Source organism: Homo sapiens, chromosome 6 (assembly GCF_000001405.40).
Source record: "Homo sapiens chromosome 6, GRCh38.p14 Primary Assembly".
In the NCBI taxonomy this organism is placed as follows: domain Eukaryota; kingdom Metazoa; phylum Chordata; class Mammalia; order Primates; family Hominidae; genus Homo; species Homo sapiens.
In genome coordinates, this window is record NC_000006.12 from 14,408,923 (window position 1) to 14,434,068 (window position 25,146).

The window sequence follows — 25,146 nt, forward strand, 5'->3', positions numbered from 1 at the left end:
CTTGATCAAAAGTCTCCTGACTTGCAGGAGTTTATGACAGCCTCTTACAGTCTTTTTTTGTTTTTGTTTTTTAGTTGGCAATAAGACAATCTAAAATAGTCCTTAGTACACTAAATGCCAAATCTTTCCTGGTGTCTAGAGTGAGGCCAGTAACAATTATTTCCTACTGTGGGTGGGCCTTTGGCAGGTTATCAGTATTTGCTCATCCAATAGAACCTTTGTAATGATAGAAATGTATATCTGCACTGTCCTATACAGTAGCCACTAGTCACACGTGGTTATTGAGCATTTGAAATGTGGCTAGTTTAACTGAGGATCTCTCTCTCTCTCTCTCTCTCTCTCTCTCTCTCTATATATATATATATATATATATTTTTTTTTTTTTTTTTTTTTTTTTTTTTTGAGACGAGTCTCACTCTGTTGCCCAGGCTGGAGTGTAGTGGCACGATCTCTGCTCACTGCAACCTCTGCCTCGCGGGTTCAAGTGATTCTCCTGCCTCAGCCTCCTGAGTAGCTGGGATTACAGGCGCATGTCACCATGCTCGGCTAATTTTTGTATTTTTAGTAGAGACAGGGTTTCACCATGTTGGTCAGGCTGGTCTCAAACTCCTGACCTCAAGTGATCTGCCCGTCTTGGCCTCCCAAAGTGCTGGGATTACAGGTGTGAGCCACCATGCCTGGCCACTATATTTTAAATTTTTATATGATTGTTAGTTGATTTAAATTAACTCTCAGTTCAGTTTACATTAAAATTTTCTACAACAGAAGTTTTTTAGTGACCCTGAGTACTCAAGGAAGTATATCCTAAAAGTACATCAACTGTTGTTTTTTTAATTCTAGTTAATCACGTGTGGCTAGTGGCCACACACAGCACAGATCTTGGAGTTGGCTACAGACTTCTCTGGCTATTTCTAGGTCAGCTCTGTCAGCAATGTACACGTCAAAGTCAAATTGCCTCAATCTATTGGTAAAAGACCTGGTGCCTTATTCTCAGGCCAATGCTGTCACACCTGAGTATACGATTACTGTCTATAATCTGTTGACACACAAATCAACTTTCTTCCCCTGAGATGACCTCTCTGGTTCATGTGACACTTTATCTATCCCTGCAGTGGGTCAAAACCTCACCCAGGGCATATCGAGTCAGAATCTTTGGAGGGGCAGCTTAGTTTAGAAACTTACTATTGTTATAAGCTTCTCAGGTGATTCTTATGCAGACAGCCCAATACTAATGCTTACCACCACTCTGCAGCGCAATTCAAACTGGCTGGGTTACCACCAATTCAGGATAAATATGACGAAGATAAAACTTTTAGTCTTTGTTCTCCCTACTTCCACCTTTCCCAATTTGCCCATACCCAGGAGAAAATGCTACAATTTCCCTGACCTGTTATAAACCTTAGAGTCAACATCACTCATCGATGAAATAAACCAATCCCAGAGCCCCTTGTGCATCAGAAGCATTCAACAAATATTTGATCATTGTGTCTTCCCTCATGTTCTTTGTTTCTCTTATGTGATTAATTATAAAGTAAGGCCCTTTTCCGACATCCTGTCTTGTGTGTCCATTTCCTTCTTTCTTTCTCCAACCTTCACAAAGTTAGCTGAAAATTTAATCATCTTCCTCCTGTAATACTACATCCATCACCATCATTATCATCCTCATTTTCAGGATAGCTTCTCTTTGTATTCAATCCACAAATAAACGCTGTGAGATTGAAACGATGATTCCCATTTTGCAGAGGGTTAAACTTAAGGAAATTTACCCAATGTTATTAGACTGGTAATTGGCAGAGAGATGTGAGTTTATAGCAAAGCTCATTTTCTTTTCTACTAACTGGAGCGAACTACCTGCTGGATGCTCTTGCTGCACATATGGCAATCTTCTCTCTGAACTAAAGTTATCTTCTCTGTTCAATGCTCATTGCAAAATAATAACAGAGTCGTCAATGGGAATTAAAACCCCTGGGTGAGAAACTCTTCAGAAAATAGGACATTCACACAGTCTCTGGCTAATCACACCACTCACAGTACAGTGACTGCCTAATCATAGGAAGGGACGGTGGCAGGCAACGCCTTAAGCAAATGATCAAAGTTACCTCCACAGTAATGGGACAAGTTGACATCAGGTGGTTCTTGATGTGATGCACCGAGAGAACCACATCAGTTATATATGATTTCTGTCAAAAATATTCCATTTGAATCTAATCAAGAGGAAAGAATCAGACAAGTCCAAACTGAGGTACATTTTGCAAAAAAATTGGCCTGGCCTTCTCAAAAATGTCAATGTCATAAAAGACAAAAAAGTTTGGTGAGAGGTTCTAGATTAAAGAGGGTAAAGAGACATGACAATGAAATGCAATTAAATTCAGAATTCTTAATTAGATCTTGATTTTTTAAAAAGTTGGACAAAACAGTTTTGAGACAATTGGGGAAGAGTGAATATGGACTATATATTAGAAAATAGGATTGTATCAATATTACATTTTCTGAGTATGATAGTTCTACAGTGGTTATGTGGGAGACTACCCTCATTCTCAGAAAATGGTATTTGAGATATGTAGAGGTGAAGGGTCATGATAGCTGGAACTAATACTGAAATGGTCCAAAAACAAACAAATGAAAAACAAACCACTCTCAGAGAGATAAAGCAAGTGCCCCAAATGTTAATAAATGGGGAATTTTGGTAGAGAATATAGGTGTTCGTTGTATTATTTTGCAACTTTGTTGTAGGTTTAAAATTTTTTTCAAAATAATGAGTAGGTTAAAAACAAAAATGAAAGTAGAAAAGAAATAATACTAGTAATACTTACGTAGCATTTACTATGTGCCTCACATTCTTCTAAGCACTTTATCCAGATTAACTGGATTTAATCCTCACGACACCTTAGACGGTATGTTACTATCATCCTCAGTTTACACTTGAAACAGTGGAGGCCCCGACAGGTTGTGATTTGGCCACAGTCAACCTCAAGCAAGATGTAGAGTTGGAATGCCACCCACAGTCCATGCTCTTAGCCTCTCTGCTGAACCATTTCATTGAGAGTATTCTAGTTCTAATCAGCTTCTGAGGGGCTGACCAGGTTGTTCATCACACTTCAACTGCTCTAACACTTTACAGTTTTTTCTTGCATTCATTTGAAATTTGTCTCTCTATGGCTTTTACCCATTTGTTCTATTTCTGTAGTTGGCCCATCCAGAGCAAATCACTCTTTCCTTCCTTAGAATATAAACTTTTCAAAAATTGGGACTTGGTCACATTTACCACTGTGTTCTCATGCTAGAAGAATGCCTCCTAGCACGTGACAGGAACTCAGTAAAGATTTACCAGATAAATGAATGAATGAATGGACATCAGCTTTTCGAATATTTGAGGTCAACTTCTGAAAATTTCCATTCTCTGTTGAAAACCTTCCCAGTCCCTTCAACTGTTCCATTAATATTCTAGCCACCATCCTCTAAAACAATTCCAGTTTTTCTAGTTTTAAAGCTTGTGCTCAGAACTGAAAAGAGTACTCCAGAGTTCACCGACCACCATCAAGTGACAGTAACATTTCACTGTTCTTGTTTTAGATGGCTTCCTTCTGCTAACGGAGGCTAGGAGAACACAACAATTTTTAAAATGGCATCGTACAAACTACCTAAGAGACTTTCTGGCAAAGATGATGAACGTACACATTTACTCTTGCGTCTTCCTAAGCCACACTAAGATAACAGTAAAGCATTTTGTTTGTTTGTTTACTTGCAGAAACCCACAAAAACAAAGATAATGAGAGAGAAGGAAATAGTAATAACATCCTGAAAGCTGGAAAGCAGGTACTCAAATGGCAACTGACTTATCTGACCTAAGAAACATGAATCTAAGCCAGTAGAAGAATCAGTAGATGTACAAACCCCATGACACTAAAAAACTCCCCAAAGACTTGGAAATTGGTGGCATCAGTTGTCTCTAGAAGTAGGGCTTAAGGGGCAAGGGCAAAATAGGAGGACTTGTTAAAATCCATTTAAAACTTGAAATCTCCTCCTCTCTGTGCAGTTTTCCTTCGGCCCAGCAGAAGCCTGAGGGTCTATTCTCCAGAGAGGATCAAAGAGAGGGTCTCCGGACAGGGTTCCACCAGACGCAGTTTAGGGCAGGGGTCATTTAATAAAAGGAGGACTAAGCAGGTTTGAAGGAGAGTTCAATACATATTTATATACTGACTGTCAAGACCTGTGCCCTCTTCCCTCACTCTGCTTCTAGCATGTTGGTAACTTGTCACTATTTTTCAAGCAAAAGTTTGGAAGGTCTTTCTCTGGAGAATACAACTAGTCCAAGAGGAAAGACTAAGAAATTGACAAGGAGGTGTCCCCAGAGAAATAGCTGAGCCAGATCATTCTACTGGACCTCACAGTGTGTAAACCATAGCCATGAGCTCAGAGACTCCAATTAGCTTTTTAAAAATGTTTAAAAAATTTTCTTATGTAGTAAGCTATACATAACACAACACTTAACAGTTTAAACATTTTTAAGTGTACAGTTCAGTGGCATTAAGTAGATTCACATTGTGAATCCACCACCACAGTTCACGTCCAGAACATTTTCATTACCCCAAACAGAAACTCTATCCTTTAAAAAATAACTCCCCACTCTCTCCCCTGAACCCCTGCTTACCTGTATTTTACTTTCTGCCTCTAAGAATTTGACTATTCTAAGTACTTCCTATAAGTAGAATCATATCATTCAATTGGCATAATGTCTTCAAGGCTCATCCATGTTGTAACATATGTCAGAATTTTCTTCCATTTTAAAGTTGAATAATTTCCCATTGATAAAGTAATACAGGACCAGAAACTACAGAATTATGAGAAAGACGTTTTGTTAACTCTTAAACTAGAGAGTGTTATATTCTTTTTGAAAACCAGGGTGATTTATAAAACCTGGCTACACAGTAGCACAGAGAAGCCACCCCAGGTACTAGTGGTCCACACAACAGCAGAGGGTTTTGTAGGCCTAACATTAGAGAATAACCTCTTTTTAAAAAATAATTTATTTTATTTTATTTTATTTTTTTAGACGGAGTCTTCCTCTGTCTCCCAGTCTGGAGTGCAGAGATCTTGGCTCATTGCAACCCACCTCCCGGGTTCAAGTGATTCCCCTGCCTCAGCCTCCCAAGTAACTGAGACTACAGGTGTGCACCACCATGCTGGGCTCATTTTTGTACTTCTTTTAAGTGGAGACGGGGTCTCGCCTTTTTGGCCAGGCTGGTTTCGATCTCCTGACCTCAAGTGATCTGCCCGCCTTGCCTTCCCAAAGTGCTAGGATTACAGATGTGAGCCACCATGGCTGGCCGAGAATAGCCTCTTTAAATTGCATGAGGTAGGCCAGGGATGGTGGCTCACATCTCTAATGCCAGCACTTTAGGAGAGGCTGACATGGGAGGATCGTTTGAGGCCAGGAGTTCGAGGCTGGAGTGATCTGTGATTGCATCACTGCACTGCAGCCTGGGTGACAGAGTGAGACCCTGTCTCAAAAAAAAAAAAAAAAAAAAAAAAATTGTATGAGCTATAGTACATAGATGTGTGCGAGAGTACATATGAACAAAAATAACTATCCAAGGCTGTACAAATATAGTGCAGATCCGAGGCCCTTAAGTCAATTGTGAACAACCATAAACAGAGAGAGAGAATGAATTTTACAGTGTTGGGAACAACCCCTCTGGTGTGAACCACCATGGGACACAGACTGTTATGTGATCGAGGTTCATAATCAGGTTGACAGTGGGCCACAGACTGAGGCCAAAGTGGAGATATTTACATGAGTCCTACTTCAGTAAGAGTTTCATTTGATTCCCACCAGAAGTACGAGGTTCACATGTGAAAGCTATAGTGGTTGCAACTTTATACTAACTGATGTTCTTTATGTGTTCATTATTTTGTTTTTTTATACTTACAGAATAATTCCTTCATTTATTCAAATATTTACTGAACACCTATGTGCCAAATGCTATACTGAGAACTTAGAATACAATGTTGAATAATCAAGATGCCTTTTATTATACAAGATAGATAATATCTTTTGTTTTCATTTTAACAATTTTTTTAGTACTTTGGTGTTTTAGGAACTATGCTAGAAGCTAAAACAGTGAACAAAAGGAAGCGATTCTTGCCTTAATTGTACATTAGCTATTACTGCATATGTTTATGTTAATAGTTTCAGGAATAATATGCAGTTTTATGCTACATACTGTGGGTTAGATCATTATCACTAACATATTTTTCTTGTCTTTTTTTTAATGACAGCCTACCCTTGAAAATTTTTCTTGTTTATCTGTGACATTCTAATAATGTTTATTTACTACTTAAAACTCTTCAATCTTCAAGTACAAAATCCTTACCCTTAGAAGTGAGGCCCTTCACATTGGTTTCTGTGCCTGACTTTCCAACTTTTTTCCCCCAGCATATATCCAAAATATAACTGTGTGAAAACAAAACAAAACTTCTTAAATTTTCCTGGGAGGCGCCATACCTGTAAATGTCCCATTTATCTGAAATATCCTTCCAACACACAGGTTCTCATCCTACCCTTCAAAGCTCAGCTCAGACTTGAGCCCTCTGAGAAGACCTCTCTCCTCTCCTGCACAGCCACTATGACCTAGCAGAATCTGTCACCTATCCTGTCTCAGAGTCATTTGACATGTGTAGCAGGACTCAATCTCAGTCTACTTGCTTAGTTGTGTAGGACATTGATTTGGCTCTGGGTCCCTACCCAAATCTCATCTCAAATTGGAATCCCCACCTGTTGGGGGAGAGACCTGGTAGGAGGTGATTGGGTCGTGGAAGCGGTTTCCCCACTGCTGTTCTTGTGATAGTAAGGGAGTTCTCACAAGATCTGATGGTTTAAAAGGGGCAGTTTCCCCTATGCTCTCTCTCTCCTGCCGCCATGTAAGATGTGCCTTGCCTCCCCTTCACCTTCTGCCATGATGGTAAGTTTTCTGAGGTCTCCCCAGCCATGTGGAACTGTGAGTCAATTAAACTTCATTCCTTTTTAAATTACCCAGTCTCAGGTATTCTTCATATCAGTGTGAGAATGGACTAATACAGACATCTCACTGTATTCATTAGAGCACAGTGCACTTTCTGCCAGGCTAGAAAAACTTGAAATTCAGTCACCCTTGGGGCCCTCTCTCCCCACTCCTGGACTGTGCCATAGGTCTGAGGCCCTGCACGGTACTAGAGTTGGGGTATTAGAGCCCTCTGTTTGGCAGTCCTCTGCTGACTCAGTTTACCCCTAAGTTCCATGGTCTCTTTCCACACAGCCCCTTTGGGTGCACTGGCATTCTGCTGCCTATGTGCTGTGGCTAGAACACAGACATCTTTGCAAACCTGCCTTTGGTTTCATCTGCTGCCTGAATGGCCAGGTATCCATCTCTCTCTGCAGACTTCCTACAGCTGCAGCAGCATACCCAAGAAGCCACATCTGGCCTCCTATTGCTCAGAGATGCACAGACCCCAGGCTCTTTCTCCCCTCCTCCTTGCTGCAATGGGAGGAGGGATTCTAGTCTGGTAGACAGTGGATGGAGGAAGAAAGAATCCACCCTTTAGCCCAATCCTCCAACCTTCATCTGGCTCCAGGTATTTGTTGATTCTGTGATATTCTCTCCACTCTGGAGCTTAGGCTTTTGAAACCAAAAGCTAGGAAGTATGTGAGCTGATTTCTGCATTCAACCCAGTCATTCTTCTCACGTGGGGATGTTAAAGCAATGGCTACTTATATGAGGGGTGAGGGAGGGCAATGAAAAAAGAAAAAAAATCTCATGGATTATTTCCACAAGATAATATCCTGCTTCACTCGTAAATGAATCGTGTCACACAGTGGGGTGTTTCTTGGTATTGAGCTTGCTAGAGGCAGGGTCATGGCTTAGTTATTTTTGTATTCCCTGAATCTTGACTAGCACGAGGTGTATAGTAGACATTCAGTAACTGTTTACTGAATGAACGAGTGAATAAAGTCATTGAGAACCCTCCTTTGCTTAAAATCTTCAATGGCTTGTCATCATCTATGTGATACAACTGCAACTTTTTAGCACAATATTTGAGGCCTTTGATTATCTGGCATCCGGACTGTTTTTCAGTCCCATGCCATCTTTTTCATTAATTTCTTTATTTATAGTTTGACTTCCCCACTAACCTCAGAGCCCCTTGAAGGCAGAGAGCATATTATCCTAATTCAAATGCAAATGTAGTAAAATGTGCTCAATAAATGCAGCATTAATGTATTATTTAAGCAGAACTATTTAAGCCGGGTATCCAGTTAACATTTGGTCAAGATTCTAGTACCCAGTGCAGGCAGACCTGGAAAGCATTAGCTTTAATGGAATGGCGCCTGTCCAAAGCCTAGGTATTTCTAAATCTGTCAAACACTATATATATTGTTATTAGTTTTGCCTGCTGGGAAGCAGGGGCACAAAAGTGTTTGTGAACATAAGATGAAGGGAGTCACAGGGTGAAACTGAGAGTGAGTTTACATCAAATTGTAAGCAGCTTCAAGGCAAGGATAATGTCTTATTCCTTGTTTTCTCAGTACCAGAACCTAGCAAACAATGTTTGCAACACAGTAGGCACACCTTTCTTCAGGGGCGGGGACAGACAGGGTAGCACTCTCTTGCCCAGGCTAGAGTGCAGTGGCAGGAACATGACTCACTGCAGTCTCGGCTTCTTGGGCTCAAGCAATCCTCCTGCCTCAGTCTTCTGAGTAGCTGAGACTACAGGCTTGAGCCACCATGTCTGGCTAATTTTCTGATTTTTTGTAGAGATGGGGTGTCATTTTTTTGCCCACAGGTCTTGAACTTCTGGGTTGAAGAAATCCTCCTGCCTTGGCCTTCCAAAGTGCTGGGATTACAGGCATGAGCCACTGTGCCTGGCCTCATACTTAAAAAAAAAGAAAAAAGAAAAAAAAATCAAGTAGTGTGTCTGCCAACTTTATTCTTTTCTTTTCCAAAATTGTTTCAGCTATTCTAGTTCTTTTGCCTTTTAATATAAGGTTTAGAATGTTTTTGTACCTACAAACAAAACAAAATCTGATGGTAATAACATTAAATCTGTAGATTAAGTGGTGGATGATTGACATCATAACCATGAACATGGTATATGTCTCTATTTATTTATGTCTTCTTTGATTTCTTTCACTAGCATTTTGTAGTTTTCAGCAAGCAGATCCTTTATAAGTTTTGTTAGATTTTCGCGTAAAAATTCCATTTTGGGGGAGTTTCCATAAATGGTATTTGCTATGGATTGAATGTCCCCACCAAAACTCATGTTGAAATTTAATTGCCATTGTAGCAGTATTAAGAGGTGGGGCCTTTAGGAAGTGATTAGGTCATGAGGTCTTCACCATCATAAATGGAATGATGTTCTTATTGTGAAAGTGGGTTAGTTATTTCAGGAGTGGATTCCAGATACTTAGTTTTAGGGAGCTTTTTGTTAGATACCATGGCTATTTCTATGTAGATAATTATATTGTCTTTAAATGAGGACAGTTTAAAATAATAAAAAATAATAAAGAGGTATGTGCTTTTTATTTTTTTCTCTTGCCTTATTACACTGGCTAGGACTTATAGTATGATGTTGCCTAAGAATAAAGATTTTTTATTTTGCTCCTAATCATAAGAAAAAACAAAGTTAAAAATTTCTCTTTTTTTCAGAGTTTGCTGAGAGTTTTCATCACAAATAGATGCTGCATTTTGTCAAATGGTTTTTCTGCATCAATTGATATAATATTTTTTAAATCTATTAATATGATGGATTACATTGATTGACTTTTTTTTTTTTTTTTAAGACAGAGTCTTGCTTTGTTGTCCAGGCTGGAGTGCAGTGGCTCGGTCTTGGCTCACCGCAACCTCTGCCTGCTGGGTTCAACTGATTCTCGTGCGTCAGTCTCCCAAGTAGCTGGGACCATAGGTACATACCAACATGCCTGATCGACTTTTTGCTATTGAACAAACCTTGGATTCCCAGGATAAATTGTAGTTAATTGTGATGTATTATTCTTTTTATATACTGTTGGATTTGATTTCCTAGTATATTGTTTTGAGAACTTTTAATCTATGTTTATGGGAGATATTCTTCTGCAGTTATCTTTTCCTATACTGTCTTTGTCTTGATCTTATGTCAGGGTATTGTTGACCTAAAAGAATGATTTAGAAAATAACTCCTTTGGCCGGGCGCAGAGGCTCATGCCTGTAATCCTAGCACTTTGGTAGGCTGAGGTGGGTGGATCATGAGGTCAGGAGTTTGAGACCAGCCTGGTCAAAATGGTGAAACCCCATCTCTACTAAAAATACAAAAAAACTAGCTGGGCGTGGTGGCGCACGCCTATAGTCCCAGCTACTAGGGAGGCTGAGGCGGGAGAATTGCTTGAACCCAGGAGGTGGAGGTTGCAGTGAGCCGAGATTGCGCCACTGCGCTCCAGCCTGGGCAATAGAGGGAGACTCTGTCTCTAATAAATAAATAAATAAATAAATAAATAAATAAATAAATAAAACCTCCTTCTCTTCTATTTTAACAAAAAGTCATATACAATTGGTATTATTTTATTATTAAATTTTTGGTAGAATTAAGGAGTGAAAGCATTTGAGTCTGAAGATTTCTTTTGTTGAAAATTTTTAAACAACAAATTTAATTTCTTTAATAAGCATAGAGCTATTTAGGTTCTTTCTTTCTTCTTGGGTGAATTTGATAGTCTGTCTTTCAAGGAATTGGTTCATTTTATCTAACTTGAATTTATGTCTGTAGAGTTTTTGTAGTATTCCTTTATTATCTTTTTAACATCTGTGAAGTCTGTAGTTATGTGCCCTCTTTTATTTCCAGTAGTAGTAATTTGTGTTTTCTCTCTTTCTTTGTCAGACTGGCTAAAAGTTTATTAATTCTATTGATCCTTCAAAGAACCAACTTTTTATTTCATTGATTTTTCTCTATGGTTTTATTTTATAAATTCTGTTCATTTCTGTTCTTATCTTTATATATTTTTTCTTCTGCTTCCTTTGGGTTTCTTTTGCTTTTCTTTTTCTAGTTTCTTAAATTGGAAGCTTGGATTTTTAAATTGAGGTCTTTTTTCTTTTCTAATAAAATCACTTAATGCTATGAATATCCCTTCAAGTACCACTTTATCTTCATCCTGTATATTCAGAGATGTTGTATTTTCATTTTTGTTCAATGCAAAACATTTTGTAATTTTCCCTGAGATGGTAGCTGACAGAGGTGAACTGAGTTGTTTAATAATATACCGGAGTGGTTTTTAGGTATGATTAACTGAGGAAGTTTAATGCTGTTTTCCTTTTCACTCTTACTGAAGTGGGACATTACAATGAAAGAAAGGTTTTAAGAAATAAAGCATGCAATAAGCTATTTACCTTGAACCATTTATACATTAGCAATTTAATACAGTGATTTCCCTGCAACTTAATTCTGGGAAGATCCTAGGAGGTTGCAAGAATTTGGTTCTAAGAATCAGAAACTTGAGTTATGTCAGTAGCAACTTATCTTCCAGAAATATGCCACATTTTTTCTTAAACTTTAATGTGCGTAAAGATCACTTTGAGAGCTCATTGAACACAGATTCTGGGCCCCCACTCCAAGAGACTCTGATTTAGTAGGTCTAGGATGGGCCAAGGATTTGTATTACTAGCAGGTTTCCAGTTGATACTTATGCTACCGGTCTGAGGACCATACTTTAAGTAGCATTATTCTACAGCATTAGAAAATACTGCCCACCAAATTCTCTTTGACATCCCTTCATACATTGCATAGTTTTCTGTTTACTTCCTCTTCTTGTCGTCTTCCTTTTCTTTCTTTTGCCCTCTAGATATAGGTATTTTCTAAGGGTATAACTTTAGCTCTTTTCTCTTCATCTTTCCTTCCATTATAAATTCAACAACTTCTTATTGAGAATCTACTAACTGTTAAGCTAGGCTGCTTCTGGTACCATGTAAGGCAGAACCAGTGGGGTCCATGCCTCTTGCTCCACTATTATCTTCTCTGTGAAAGTGTTCTCAGAACTTTCTCACAGACCTGACCACCTCCTCCTTTGCTTTCCCACAGCTCTTTATTTGTTTCTCTCATATGGATTTTATTTCATTCTATATTTGTTGGGAATTCTCTGAGACAATATCCCAAATCTTGTTTGAAAGCAGGATCTGGACTGGACAAGACAAGCTTAACCTCCAATTTTGATTTTGTCACCTATCTGTATTTACTCTTTCAGGTTCAATAATTATATCAGCCTGGGAATGGATTAGAAAATTGTGATGGCGGGCTTGATGGTGCACACCAATAGTCCTAGCTACTTGGGAGGCTGAGGTGGGAGGATTCCTTCACCCCAGGAGTTTGAGGCCAGCCTGGGCAACACAGTGGGCTCTGTCTCTAAAAAAGGAAAGAAAATTGTGACAATTTTTTCAACACAATATGCCTTATCCTGATGCAAAATATATATTGGAATTATGAAATTTTTAAATTAATATTTGGAAATGTTGCAAGATGACAGGAAGGATGAAATAAAATTCCTTTTTAAGCATACTGGCACAAGACAAATCTTCATAGTATTTATTTACTTTTATCTAGTTCAGTTCAAGGAACATATATTAACAAATCACAATAAGCAAACACCATTCTATTATACTTGCATGTATTTTTTTCCTTTAGGCTTCTCTCTATATATCATGCCTCTCCAAATTTTGTGGGGGAAAATATAGATTGGCCCTATTCTTCTTGCTTGTGGCAGCAATCAATGAAAATAATGCTCATTCTTTTGGAATTCTGGGTGTTAAAAAAAGGGGAGATGTGGGGGCTGGGGAGAATGCTTTTACATAATGTCTTTATAAATATTAGTGGAGACTTCTCTGAACTATCTCTGTCCTGCTCCCCAGACTTCCTTCTCTGTGATAATAAAGTGCTCATATAGGAAGTCACAAAATTGCAACGGAAATCCAAACTCAACTTGATTTACTAGGTCCTCAAATGTTGACCTGTTCTGGACTCATAAATAGAGTGGGAAGGCATTTGGGTAAGGGAAAGAGCAGGAAGCCATGAATTACCCAGTGGATCTTTGAAATCAAACAAATTTAACATAGAATGAATACAGGCATTTCCTGGGGAAGAAGGGAAGTGTAGTCCTGCCTGTCAATTACCCTGTAACTATATTAAATTTAGAAGATCACAGATATTCCGCCAGGGATCTCAAGGACCAGGCGGGAGAATGCCCATACCTTTTGCATTACAGTGGAGACAGATCCCAGTCACATCCAACTTACTCACATCCAACTACATGGTGAGCCATATTTTTCACACAACATGGCTCCTAAATGCATGCCAACTACTTTAGTGCTCAGGAAGAGAAGCAGAGATATGTTCCAATAATGGGAAAAACGGGCTGAATTGCCTCCATTGAAAGATGATGCACTGTTCGTTGTGGGTGATTTAAGGGATCTTCCTTGGTAGAGGAAAGCTGGTGCGTCAGTGCCTCTAAACATCCGTGGGCAGCTGTAGAATCAGGCCTCCCAGAATCTGCTCTTCTAGACTATCGGCAGATGAGAGCCGGAGGAAGGCCAGGTCTTTATAGAACCACCTTCCGGGGCTGGGTGCGGTGGCTCACGCCTGTAATCCCAGCACTTTGGGAGGCCGAGGCGGGCAGATCACCTGAGGTCAGGAGTTCAAGTCCAGCCTGGCCAACATGGTGAAACACCACCTGTACTAAAAATACAAAAATCTTAGCTGGGCGTGGTGGCGTGCGCCTTTAGTTCCCAGCTACCTGGGAGGCTGAGGCAAGAGAATCGCTTGAACCTGGGAGGCGGAGGTTGCAGTGATACCACCACTGCAGTCCAGCCTGAGTGAGAGAGTGAGACTCCATCTCAAAAAAAAAAAAAAAAGGAAAAGAAAAAAAGAAACCACCTTCCCCTCCCCTTCTATCCATCTGGACACTCCTCCTTCTTCCCTCTTTTCTCATTCTCTTATAAGAGAAGTTTCCTCTTTTTACAGGTGGGGCAGTGGAGGTGGTACAGCCAAAACTTCATTGAAAGGAAAATTTGGTGTAATGCATTTTGAATGAGACCTCTCACCCCAGACAAACTGTGTGACCCTGCATGGCTCAGGGGCCCCAGTACGCTACAATAGCTACATCCAGGAAAGTGTTACCATGGCTTGGTGATTTCCTAAGCATGAGAAAAATCAGGCTGTCCTCACTGTGAGATCAAGTTTGAGGTTACCGCTAGGCAGGATGTGATATGGAGAGTTTTTTTTTTTTTTTTTTGCCAAATGGTACCTCTTCTTCTAGCCTAATGGTTATTGAGTTTTAAGAGGAAGGAAATTATATTTATTTTTGGTATTGTGCAGAATTATAGAGGAAATGTGTAAATCAGAGGAAAAATCCAGATATCCTGAAAGAAAATGTGAGACGAGCGGCAAGGTGGGAACTCAGGGTACCAGGGCAAGTCGCTAAAACATCACTGGAGCAGTGCGATTGCTCCAGAGGAACTAGGTCACCAGGAAAACCTTTGCTTAGAATCTAAATTAAGAATAAGGTCTCCCCATTGTTTGTCTTACAGTGGCCAGAGTTCATGAGTGCCTTGCTTTGTCCCCAGGGACCCTGTTTCTCCACTCTAAGCCAGCTCTGATTAAGAGGAAGCCATATATCCTCTAAGAATATTCCTGTCTTGTGCTTTACTCAGTAACATTAACAGAGGGAAATGAGGTTATGTGAACTTCTCATGGATATTTTGATGGCAGTGACTCAGTTGATACAAAGGATTCCCTGTGAAGCAAATCCGCATAAATAGAGAGTGAAGTTTATTCTAGTGATTCCCCTAGGTTTCACCAGCTCAGGAAAGAGTAAAGAGCATCCTAAGAGACAGTAATTCCATAACCATATGCAGATGGCCAAAACTCAGGGTAGGAAATGACCCCGAGAAAATAAAACTGTGCAAAAATCTTCCACTGCAAATGGTTTAGGTATGGATTATTTAATTATTTATTTATTTAGTTTTAATTTTTATACCTTTAGGGAGTACAAGTGTGGATTTCTTACAGGCATATATTGCATAGACGTAAAGTCTGGGCTTTTAGTGAACTTATGACCCGAATAGAGAACATGGTACCCAATGGGTAACTTTCCGATTGTCAAGCCCCTCCCACCTTCCCATCTTCTGTAGACTCCAGCGTCTATTATTCCACTCACTGTGTATGTCCATGTGTACTCATTGTTTAGCTCTCACTTATAAGTGAGAACATGTGGTATTTGACTTTCTGTTTCTGAGTTATTTCACTTAGGACGATGGCCTCCGGTTCCATCCATGCTGCTGCAAAAGACATGATTTTGTTCTTTTCTATGGATGGACAAGTATTCCATGGTGAATAGTCTATCCCATTTCCTTTATCCAGTCCTCCACTGATGAACACTTCAGTTGCTTCCATGTCTTTGCTATTGTGAACAGCGTTGTGATAAACATTTGAGTACAGACATCTTTTTGATATAATGACTTCTTTCTCTTTGGGTGTATCCCCAGTAGTGAGATTGGGTCACATAGTAGTTTTGTTTTTAGTTCTTTGAGAAATCTAGGTGTGGAATATTTTAATGACTGAGTCAATTCTGATGCCAATAACTTCTTTTTTTTGCTTTCCATGTAAATGACTATTGCTTGGCAGTCAGTGGGCTAAGTTCAAAACCTACCTTATCTTCAAAATCTTCTAGAGCAGAAAATGGATTAGTAATAGGAAGACAAACTCAAAGCAAAATAGTTTAGATTCATTCAGAACTTAGCAAATGTGAAAATTATTACCTAAGAAAAGAAATTTTAGAATTCTAGAGAAAACGTCCTACACACCTACACACACACACACACACACACACACACACACACACACCGTTAGATTTTTACTTTTCAGGAGGTGTTCATCACAGTCCCCAGAGAAAATATTTAACCTTAACATGAAAAAAGCCAAGTCTTTTCCTTAAATAAAAATACCTTTCAGATCAGCACAGGGCCCATGTTACTGTTTTGGTTCCTAAGGAAGAACCAGTTTTGTTCTCCTCCCAGAAATGTAAGTGGAGCGTGAGTCCCTAAAGGGCCAGGTGGAGCCTTGGTGGTAGCTGAATTGGAGGAAGGGAGAACACATGTCTTTGGAATTGACTCGTAGACTCTCTCTGCCTTTGGAAACACCTGAGACAGAATCCTTGCCATCAGCTCTTCAGTCCTTCTTCAGTTACCATATGTTTTTATATTCATCTTTTCTCCTCTAATTTTTTATTCATATCCCAGAGTGATGAGCCAATGTTTTTAAAATAGACGATATCCAATAAATGTCCCACGCGTGAATGGATTGTTCTTATTCACTTCTGGGCTTCGAATGATTATTTGGTGCTATGTCTCAACAGATATTGATATGCAGGCAGTTCAGATATGCCAGCCACAGGAATGACTTCTACTCCATTAACAGCCTGAGAATTAAATGCTATAGTGGATTAGGAAATCTGAAGTTACTTACCTAAAAAAAAATGTGCATTGGGATCAAATCGAGATAGGAAGAAGGGAAAACTTTAATTACTGGATCTGCCTTGACATCACAGAAATGTTCTAAACATCTCCCACTTCTTTATTTCTTTTCTTTTTTTTTTTTTTTTGTTATTGGTGGCCAGTGAGAGTGAAGATAACTCACACACACAAAAGGGGAAAAGGCTTTTAAAAAGACAATTAGAAGCCAGGCGTGGTGGCTCATGCCTGTAATCCCAGCACTTGGGGAGGCCGAGGCAGGCAGATCCCCTGAAGTCAGGAGTTTGAGACCAGCGTGCTCAATATAGAAAAACCCTGTCTGTACAAAAAATACAAAAATTAGCCAGGCATAGTGGCACGGGCCTGTAGTCACAGTTACTCGGGAGGCTGAGGCAGGAGAGTTGCTTGAACCCGGGAGGCGGAAGTTGCAGTGAGCTGAAATCGAGCCACTGCACTCCACTTTGGGCAACAGAATGAGACTCTGTCTCAAAAAAAAAAAAAAAGGAAAAAAAATTAGAAACTTAGAGGAGTATGGCCATGATGCAACTCTCTTGAGATCACACGCCCCCTTCTTCCAGAAAGCCACCAGCTTTTGTTTTCATCAGTAACTGCTAGCAACAGGTCCCTTGTTACTAACATAAATTATGGATAAAGAATTGGTAACAGAGGTACGATAACTCCTCTGCATCTGATAAAATAAAAGGGGACCTGCCTTCCTGGATAGGAACATTCCCAGTAGCAAAAGTAGAAGAAGAAAAAAATATTTACTTCAATGCTCATCCCCTTCTCCCTCCCACTTTCTCACCTTGAAAACAACCTATTGAAAATGTTCACAGAAGGGAGGTTCTGCTCAGTTTTTGGAAGAACGCAGCATCTAAGTATTCATTCCACAATGACTTGAGCTGACCATATCAGTAAATATGTTGTACTCAAACAAAATTGTTCAAGGTGGAATAGAAATAAGGTCTCAGCTCTTGAGAGATAAGGCAAAGGAAGCACAGACTGCTCATCTGAATCTTCATATGGCTGACCTGGAAGAAACCAAAGACTTATTTGGCCAAAGTGTGGTTTTCTATCTGAACAAACATCCAATTATATGCGGAATAGACTCCAGAGCATTTCAGAGAGATAAAGTATAATGACCATGGTATTAGCCTTGCAGAGGCAGATCCCTGGGTTACTGACAAGCCAGAGGGCTTGTGTAACATCTCTGTAACCTACCTGTGTCCAAAATCAGCAGTAAGGACTTATCTGTAGTCTTCTCAGATGTTCTTGATCCTTTTTTGTGTGTCCTAGAACCACTTCATCCCATCCAACACAATGACAACACTTCAAAGAAGAATGTCACAGCCTTTGTAAGTCTTTCTAACAAAAGATGTATTGTCATTACTGGATCTCCTCTTGTTCCACACAAAGTTGTGTCTAGTATTCACTGTTCTGAACAAATCATTTGGTAAAGCATTTCATAAGTTTATTTGGATGAGGATAGCATGGGCTTTTTTGAACCACTGGTGAGAGACGAGTTGGTTATCCAGAGGCTGCAAGACCTGTGCTCCTGGGCTTTGCTGTGTGAAACACCTGTGCATGCAGAATGCAGGATAAATCTTTTGAGACCATTGGATCTACCATGCTCATGAAACTTATCTAAGAAAATCCTTGTAAGGCACAAAAACAGAGAAAGAGGATTGAAAGACCTGGCCGAGATCTTAATCTTTCGTGTTGATTGCAATGTGAGTTGCATTAACAGCAGGTACACAGCTTCTATCACATTCTTTGCCTTTAGAGTCAAGCTTTCATATAGTTCAGGGGGTGCCAAGCTAGGGCCCAAGAGCAAACTATGGCCTGTTGCCTCTTTTTTATATAGCCTGAGTCAAGAATGATTTTTACATTTTTAAATAACTGAGGAAAAAGTCAAAAGAAGAGTTATATTTTGTGACAAACTAAAATTACACAAAATTTACATTTTAGAGTCCACAAGTGAAGTTTTATGGAAGCACAGCCACACCATATTGTCTATATCTGCTTTTCTGCTATACCAACAGAGCTGAGTACTTGCAACAGAGACCATGTGGCCTGCAAAGCAAAAAAATATATAAAATAAAATATTTCTATTGGTCTTTTACCAAAAAAACAGTTTACTGACCCCTGATAAAGTTCAAGTTCATTCTTAAATTCAGCCTTGCTAATTAAATAGACCTGAAGTCTTGCTAAAATGCAAGGATTAGTTTTAGAGAATTATGATGTAATCTATTGGGAAATGAGCCACAAATTATTATCAAATAGGATATAAACTTAATTTTTATTAAAATGGAAAATGTTTCATAAAATTTATTTTAAAAATACAGTTATATAAAGTAGAGACCATCACAGGACATGTGGTATAAAAGAGACCTGACCTGGCCAGGCCCGGTGGCTCACACCTGTAATCCCAGCACTTTGGGAGGCCAAGGTGGGTGGATCATGAGGTCAAGAGACCATCGTGGCCAACATGGTGAAACCCCGTCTCTACTAAAAATACAAAAATTAGCTGGGCGTGGTGGCAGGTGCCGGTAGTCCCAGCTACTTGGGAGGCTGAGGCAGGAGAATTGCTTGAAACCAGGAGGTGGAGGTTGCAGTGAGCTGTGATCGTGCCAATGCACTCCAGCCTGGTGACAGAGCAAGACTCCGTCTCAAACAACAACAACAACAAACAAACAAACCTGACCTGCCTATTAGTCAGGGAAATGAAAATTAAAATGCAAAAGGATACTGTTTCATGCCTCCAAAATTGCCAAAAAATTTTAAAAGTCTGATAATATGAAGGGTTGTGAAGGTGCAGAACAATGTGCATGGGCAATATGTGTACTCACACAACCGCTTTGGAAAGCAGCTTGGCAATTTCTAATAAAATGGAAGATGGGTTTAATAAGATGACTTAGTGACTCCACCCCCAGGTTTATAGCCTATTCTAAAGCAATTCTAGCACCTACGCAAGAGGAAACATGTAGAAAGATGTTCTATGCAACACCAACACGGTAGGTTGTGCTTTCTGCTCCCCTGTGGCTGGGTGGAGCCCTGTGGCTAGTTCTGGTCATTTGAGTTGTGAGCAGAAGTGACACACATGGCTGGAGCATCTATAAGGCCAATGTGAAACCCTTCTGAGTTATAATAAGCCACAGGTTAAATAGAAATTGCAATGGAAAATACTTCAAATTAAATAATAATACTACATATCAAAGCTTACCATTATACTACAAATACTTATCATTACACTATCAAATACTACATATCAGAGTGTTAGCCTTGCTTAGAAGGGAATTTATAGCTTCAAATGCATATTTAGAAAAGAAGAAACACTGAAAAAAATCAATAAACTTTGAATCTTAGCTTGGGTTCCCCAGAAGCAGACCTTGAGCCAAGGATTCAAGGGCGAACAGTTTAATTGGGAGTGAATTAATTAGCTTGGGCTGCCGTAACAAAGTATCACAGGCTAGGTGGCTTAAACAACAGAAATTTATTTTCTCACATTTCTGGAGGCTGAAATCTGAGATCAAGGTGTCAGCAGGTTTGGTTTCTTCTGAGGCTCCTGCCCTTGGCTTGCAGATGTCTGTGTTCTCCCTGTGTCTGCCCATGGGATTCCCTCTGTGTGTGTTGTGTCCTAATCTCTTCTTATAAGGACACCAGTCATAGTGGATTAGAGTGTACCTTCATGATCTCATTTTAATTTCATCACCTCTTTAAAGCTGTATCTCCAAATAAAGCCACATTCTTAGGTACTTTGGCTTCAGACTCGAACAAATAAATTTAGGGGCTTCGTACGTTGAATCTGAGGGGCTCACAGTTCAGTCCCTCACAGGGAAATAGACAAGTAGGAACAGGTAGGAAGTGAGATACGGAGGGAAGACAGATAAATAATAAAGGGTATGTTATGAAGGCAGTCATCACAGCAGGAGACTGGAGCTTGATTGCATTAATTACCAAGAAGAACTCTAGAAAACTAAGTAAAATATGCTTCAGAATTATCTCAGCCGAAGGGCAAGAAGAGTATTTACACCCTGACAGCCTTTGGTCTTTAGTTAAAGGTTTCCTCTGGCGCTGTTAGTTCCCAGGCACCTCCAGCCCACTATGCCCATAGGCTAAGTAAGTTCAGGCAGCCTGGGGACGGCCCTCGGACAAAAATGCAGGTCCCGGCCCTTGGAGGTCTGGGAGTGCACAGGCCTGACGAGGGATCCCAGGACATACCAATGGAGCCCCGTTCGTGTCAGTTAAGAAGCTCTCTCCGGACATTACCAAAGGAGTGGCGAAACAAATCCAAAGAGAAAGCAATCATTGTAACTAATTCAAATGTATAAGCAGACAAGATTCTCAAAACCACAGGCTGATTCCTTAAAATACTAATAAAAGTGAAAAATTGCTGTCAAGATTGATCAGTTAAACTAGAGACAAATGACCTAGTGACAAACAATGTCAGGAATTTTAAAACGGGGCATCATTAAGGATCACGCAGACATGAGATCATTAAGAGAAGTAACAGAAAAAAAAGGGTGAATACCAATTTCACTCCTAGTTATATACTCAAAAGTATTGAAAACAGGCACTCAAACCAATACATGTACATATGTGTTCATGGCAGCACTACTTACAATTTACAAACATCAAAAGGTGAAACAGCCCAAATGTTCATCCATAGATAAATAGACAACAAACTGTGGTATATTCATACAACAGAATATTGTTCAGATATAACAAGAAATGAATTACCAAAACGTGATACAAGGTGAAAAAACCTCAAAAATATTACATTAAGTGAATGGAACCAGACACATATTATATAAATCCATTTATATAAAATAACCAGAACAGGTAAATGCATGGAGACAGGAAGTCGATTGTTGTTTGTGAAGGCTGAGGAGAGGGAAATGGAGAGTGGTTAAAGGGGATGCGTTTCCTTCTGGGGGGGATGGAAATATTTAGGAACTAGATAGAGATGTGATTGCACAACACTGGGAAAGTATAAAATGCCATTTAATTGTTCACTTTAAAATGATTTGATTTATGTTATGTGAATTTCACCTCAATAAAAAAGAGAGAGAAAGGGTGAGGAAAAGAGGAGAAACACCTGGCAGTTATACACTGCCAGCCATGTGCTAGGTCTACACTGCCATTAAAAATGCACTAGTTTTAATATTTTGATGAGCTCAGGCTGGGCAAGGTGGCTCATGCCTGTAATCCCAGCACTTTGGGAGGCTGAGGTCGGCAGATTACCTGATGTCAGGAGTGTGAGACCAGCCTGACCAACATGGCAAAACCCGGTCTCTAGTAAAAATACAAAAATTAGGCCGGGCACAGTGGCTCATGCCTGTAATCTTAGCACTTTGGGAGGCCGAGGCGGGTGGATTGTCTGAGCTCAGGAGTTCGAGACCAGCCTGGGCAACACGGTGAAACCCATCTCTATTAAAATACAAAAAAATTTAGCCTGGCTTGGCAGCATTTGCCTGTAGTCCCAGCTACTAGGGAGACTGAGGCAGGATGCTTGAACCCGGGAGGCGGAGGTTGCAGTGAGCCGAGATTGCCCCATTGCACTCCAGCCTGGGCAACAGAGCGAGACTCTGTCTCCAAAAAGAAAAATAAAAAAAATTAGCTGGGCTTGGTGGCGAGCGCCTGTAATCCCAGCTACTTGGGAGGCTGAGGCAGGAGAATTGCTTGAACCTGGGAGACGATGGAAGTTGCAGCGAGCTGAGATTGTGCCACTGCACTCCAGCCTGGGCCACAGAGTGAGACTCTCTCTCTTTCTCTCTCTCTCTCTCCCCCCAACCCCCCCCCTCTATATATATATGTATGTGTATGTATATTTTGATGAGCTCATTAAATACATTCACAATTGTCCCATAAGATAGGGATTAATAACACTTTTATAGAAAAGAAAGGAGTTCATGGAAAAGAATCTGATTGTTTCTCTGTTTTGCTGTCACTTTGTGTTTTGCGGAGTTAATCCAAAGAGTTGCTTCAACAAGCAGAACTCAAGGAAACACGGGTGAGGTTACTTTCAGGCTTGGAGACTTCTGAGCTAAAGGAAGTGGGCCAGGGAAGGGCTAGGTGCTCTGACATTCCAAATATAGTCTGCTTGGCCACTGAGGAACAGAGATTTGTTGCTAGCAACAAGTACTTAGAACGTGTGTGATTTGGCATGTCTCGAACTGTGAAGTAGATGCAATGCAGGCAGAAAATCGATGATGCTATGGGGAGGGGCTGTGTAGGGTGTTAATCGCCATCTGCAGTGCCTGGAGGTGGGGTGGGGAGAAGTGAAGAATCTCTTCCTTTTTAATAGATTTTCAAGATGGGAAAATCATATTGCAACCCACAGGCATTTGGAAACAATTTGTGCCGAAGACAGAAAGTACACCTAACGTTAAGCTGAAAAAACTGGACGCTCCCAGCAAACTCACTTTGCAGACTCCTGGTTGTCAGAAGAAAACGCCAGAGGATTTCACTTGGCATTGACCTCTTACTACTTCCAGCCACTTACCCTGGGCAGTAGAAAGAAGGAACAGAAAGCAGAGTAGATTAAGAGGAGCAAGTACAAATGGCGTGGGACTTCAAATCACCACCTAAGATTACTTCTTTGATTTCTGAAAAAGTAGGTCAAAGGAAGATGTCAGGTGAGATGGGAATGGGGGAATGGGGGTGGGGGAGGAAGAGTTAAGCCTGATTCACAACCCTATAGGCATGCGGTGAAGCAAATTCTTTGGCACTGTTTATAATTTACCTTAGAAGGTACACTTGTGAAATCTTTAAGAATCATGAATGTTGTCCCCGGAAGAAGTAGGTACATCTTGAATCTTTAATTCTGCCTGGGACAAAATGACCATATGAATGTTAAGTTGAAAGTGCAAATTAGCATAGAATCATCGGGCCAAAAGTTGAAAAGACTTTTGATTAAATCCTAGAAGAAAGATGAACGTAAAATTACAGATCGAAAACCTTAGATTCATATTTTATTTCTTAAAACTCTAAAACTCTGAGCTTTTATCCTTATCCACTAACAAATTGATCAGCACTTTCTGTTGAGTTAAACTCTGAATTGAGGGTCTTTTTGCCTCTTGCCTACTTTCATTCAGGCTGGGTTATTTCTTTTCCTTTTTTGTAACTGTGGTTTTTTTATTGTGGCAAAATACACATAAAATTAGTATTTTAAACATTTTTAAGTGTACAATTCCATGCATTTAGTACATTTGCAATATTGTATGACTATCCCCACTTCCTTGAATAGTTCTAGAGAAACAGAATGTTAAGGATGAAGGCCAGGTGCTGTGGCTTGTGCCTGTAATCCCATCACTTTGGGAGGCCAAGGTAGGAGGATCGCCCGAGCCCAGGAGTTTGAGAGCAGCCTGGGCAACATAGTGAGACCTCTTCTCTACAAATAATAAAAAAAAAACTAGCCAGGCATAGGGTAGTGTGTCTGTGGTCCCAGCTACTCAGGAAGCTGAGGTGAGAAAATTGCCTGAACCCGGGCAGTTGAAGCTGCAGTGAGCTGCGATAGCACCACTGCACTACAGCCTGGGCAATAGAATGAGACCCTGTCTCAAAAAAATTAAATGATTAAATTAAAAAGAAAAAAAAAAAGAATGTTAAGGACAGGTTTTCTGAAATGGTTCTGCGGTTTCTGGAATTGACTCTCTAATCTGATTAGATTTCAAGATGCTAATGACTTTATTTTTAGTAGTAATGAGAGCACTGGTAGTCCATGGCATGATCTGGCAATAGAGATACGTAAAACAGCACCTTTGGATACTCCTTAGCAACCCCTTGTAGGAAGCAAGGAGCTGCGGGGGCAATGGGCGGGGGGGCGGTGGGGAGCTATGTATATACTTACGAACACTTTTTGCAAACTAACAAGTATGAGATTGGCTGGTTGATCCAAATGTCACTGGGCAAAGTGGGGAAAGGAAAGGATGAGCTCCAGGATTTGAATCTTCAGCTTAAGCCCCATGTACAAGACCTGAAATCTTCTACAGGTGCCCTGCAAGATCATTATTGCCTTTAGCAGCAGGGCTATGATTGCTGAAAATCAAACACAGAATCTTATCCTGAGACTGGCTGAATGACTGCCCAGGTTAAACTCTCAGCCTCACAGGAAGTCAAACGTTGAAGTGAGGAAGATATGCACTTTGAGAGCTGGAATGGGGATATGTAGGAAGACCTGATGAAACTGGGGAAATCGAGCCCCTGGAATCTGATAAATATTTGCCAGTGGAAGAGGCCTCTCTAACCTCTGGGGAAGCCACCTTCCCACTCCCAGTGGTAGTGGCTTCTCCACCCCCTCACCTCTCAACTGGTGGGATTAAACTTGCATTGTCCTCGAAAACTGTAATGACCTCCTCTGTGGTAGATGCTATGCTAGACAGTGATTCTCCTCAAGATCCATTTATATCACCCCTCTGTGCTTCTAGACCTATAACTTGATTCAAGTCCTAGTAGGCTCCTAAAGGTAAGGTACAAAATGTAACTCACAAGGAAGCATACCACAGTTCAAAAGAACTACTGGAATTTTCTAATTTATACAGATAGAAATCTGGGAAACGTGTGGGAGTGGATATTGAGAGTATAGGATAATGGCAGGAGGAACATAAAGTTGGATTAGGTGGAATTCATT

General features: G+C 40.2%; 2 long non-coding RNA genes across 8 annotated transcripts in view; one reads left to right on the forward strand and one right to left on the reverse strand.

Moving 5' to 3' along the window:
- Positions 1–11,751: 11,751 nt before the first annotated feature.
- The window catches only part of LOC105374942 (uncharacterized), a 41,263-nt gene continuing 27,868 nt past the window's right edge, over positions 11,752–25,146 (reverse strand). For 2 of the 4 annotated variants that reach the window (XR_007059469.1, XR_007059468.1), the window contains 2 exons: positions 23,260–23,344; positions 19,989–23,020 (listed from right to left, as the gene is read on the reverse strand). This is a non-coding gene — a long non-coding RNA (uncharacterized LOC105374942). Of the gene's footprint in view, positions 17,546–17,735; positions 18,093–19,988; positions 23,021–23,259; positions 23,345–25,146 lie in introns of those variants that run through there. The other 2 variants (XR_926511.3, XR_926510.3) reach the window with 2 other exon arrangements.
- LOC101928331 (uncharacterized) overlaps positions 22,858–25,146 on the forward strand; it is an 84,318-nt gene continuing 82,029 nt past the window's right edge. For 3 of the 4 annotated variants that reach the window (XR_001743997.3, XR_001743999.3, XR_007059467.1), the window contains exon 1: positions 23,015–23,152. This is a non-coding gene — a long non-coding RNA (uncharacterized LOC101928331). Of the gene's footprint in view, positions 23,153–25,146 lie in introns of all 4 variants that reach the window. The other variant, XR_001743994.3, reaches the window with a different exon arrangement.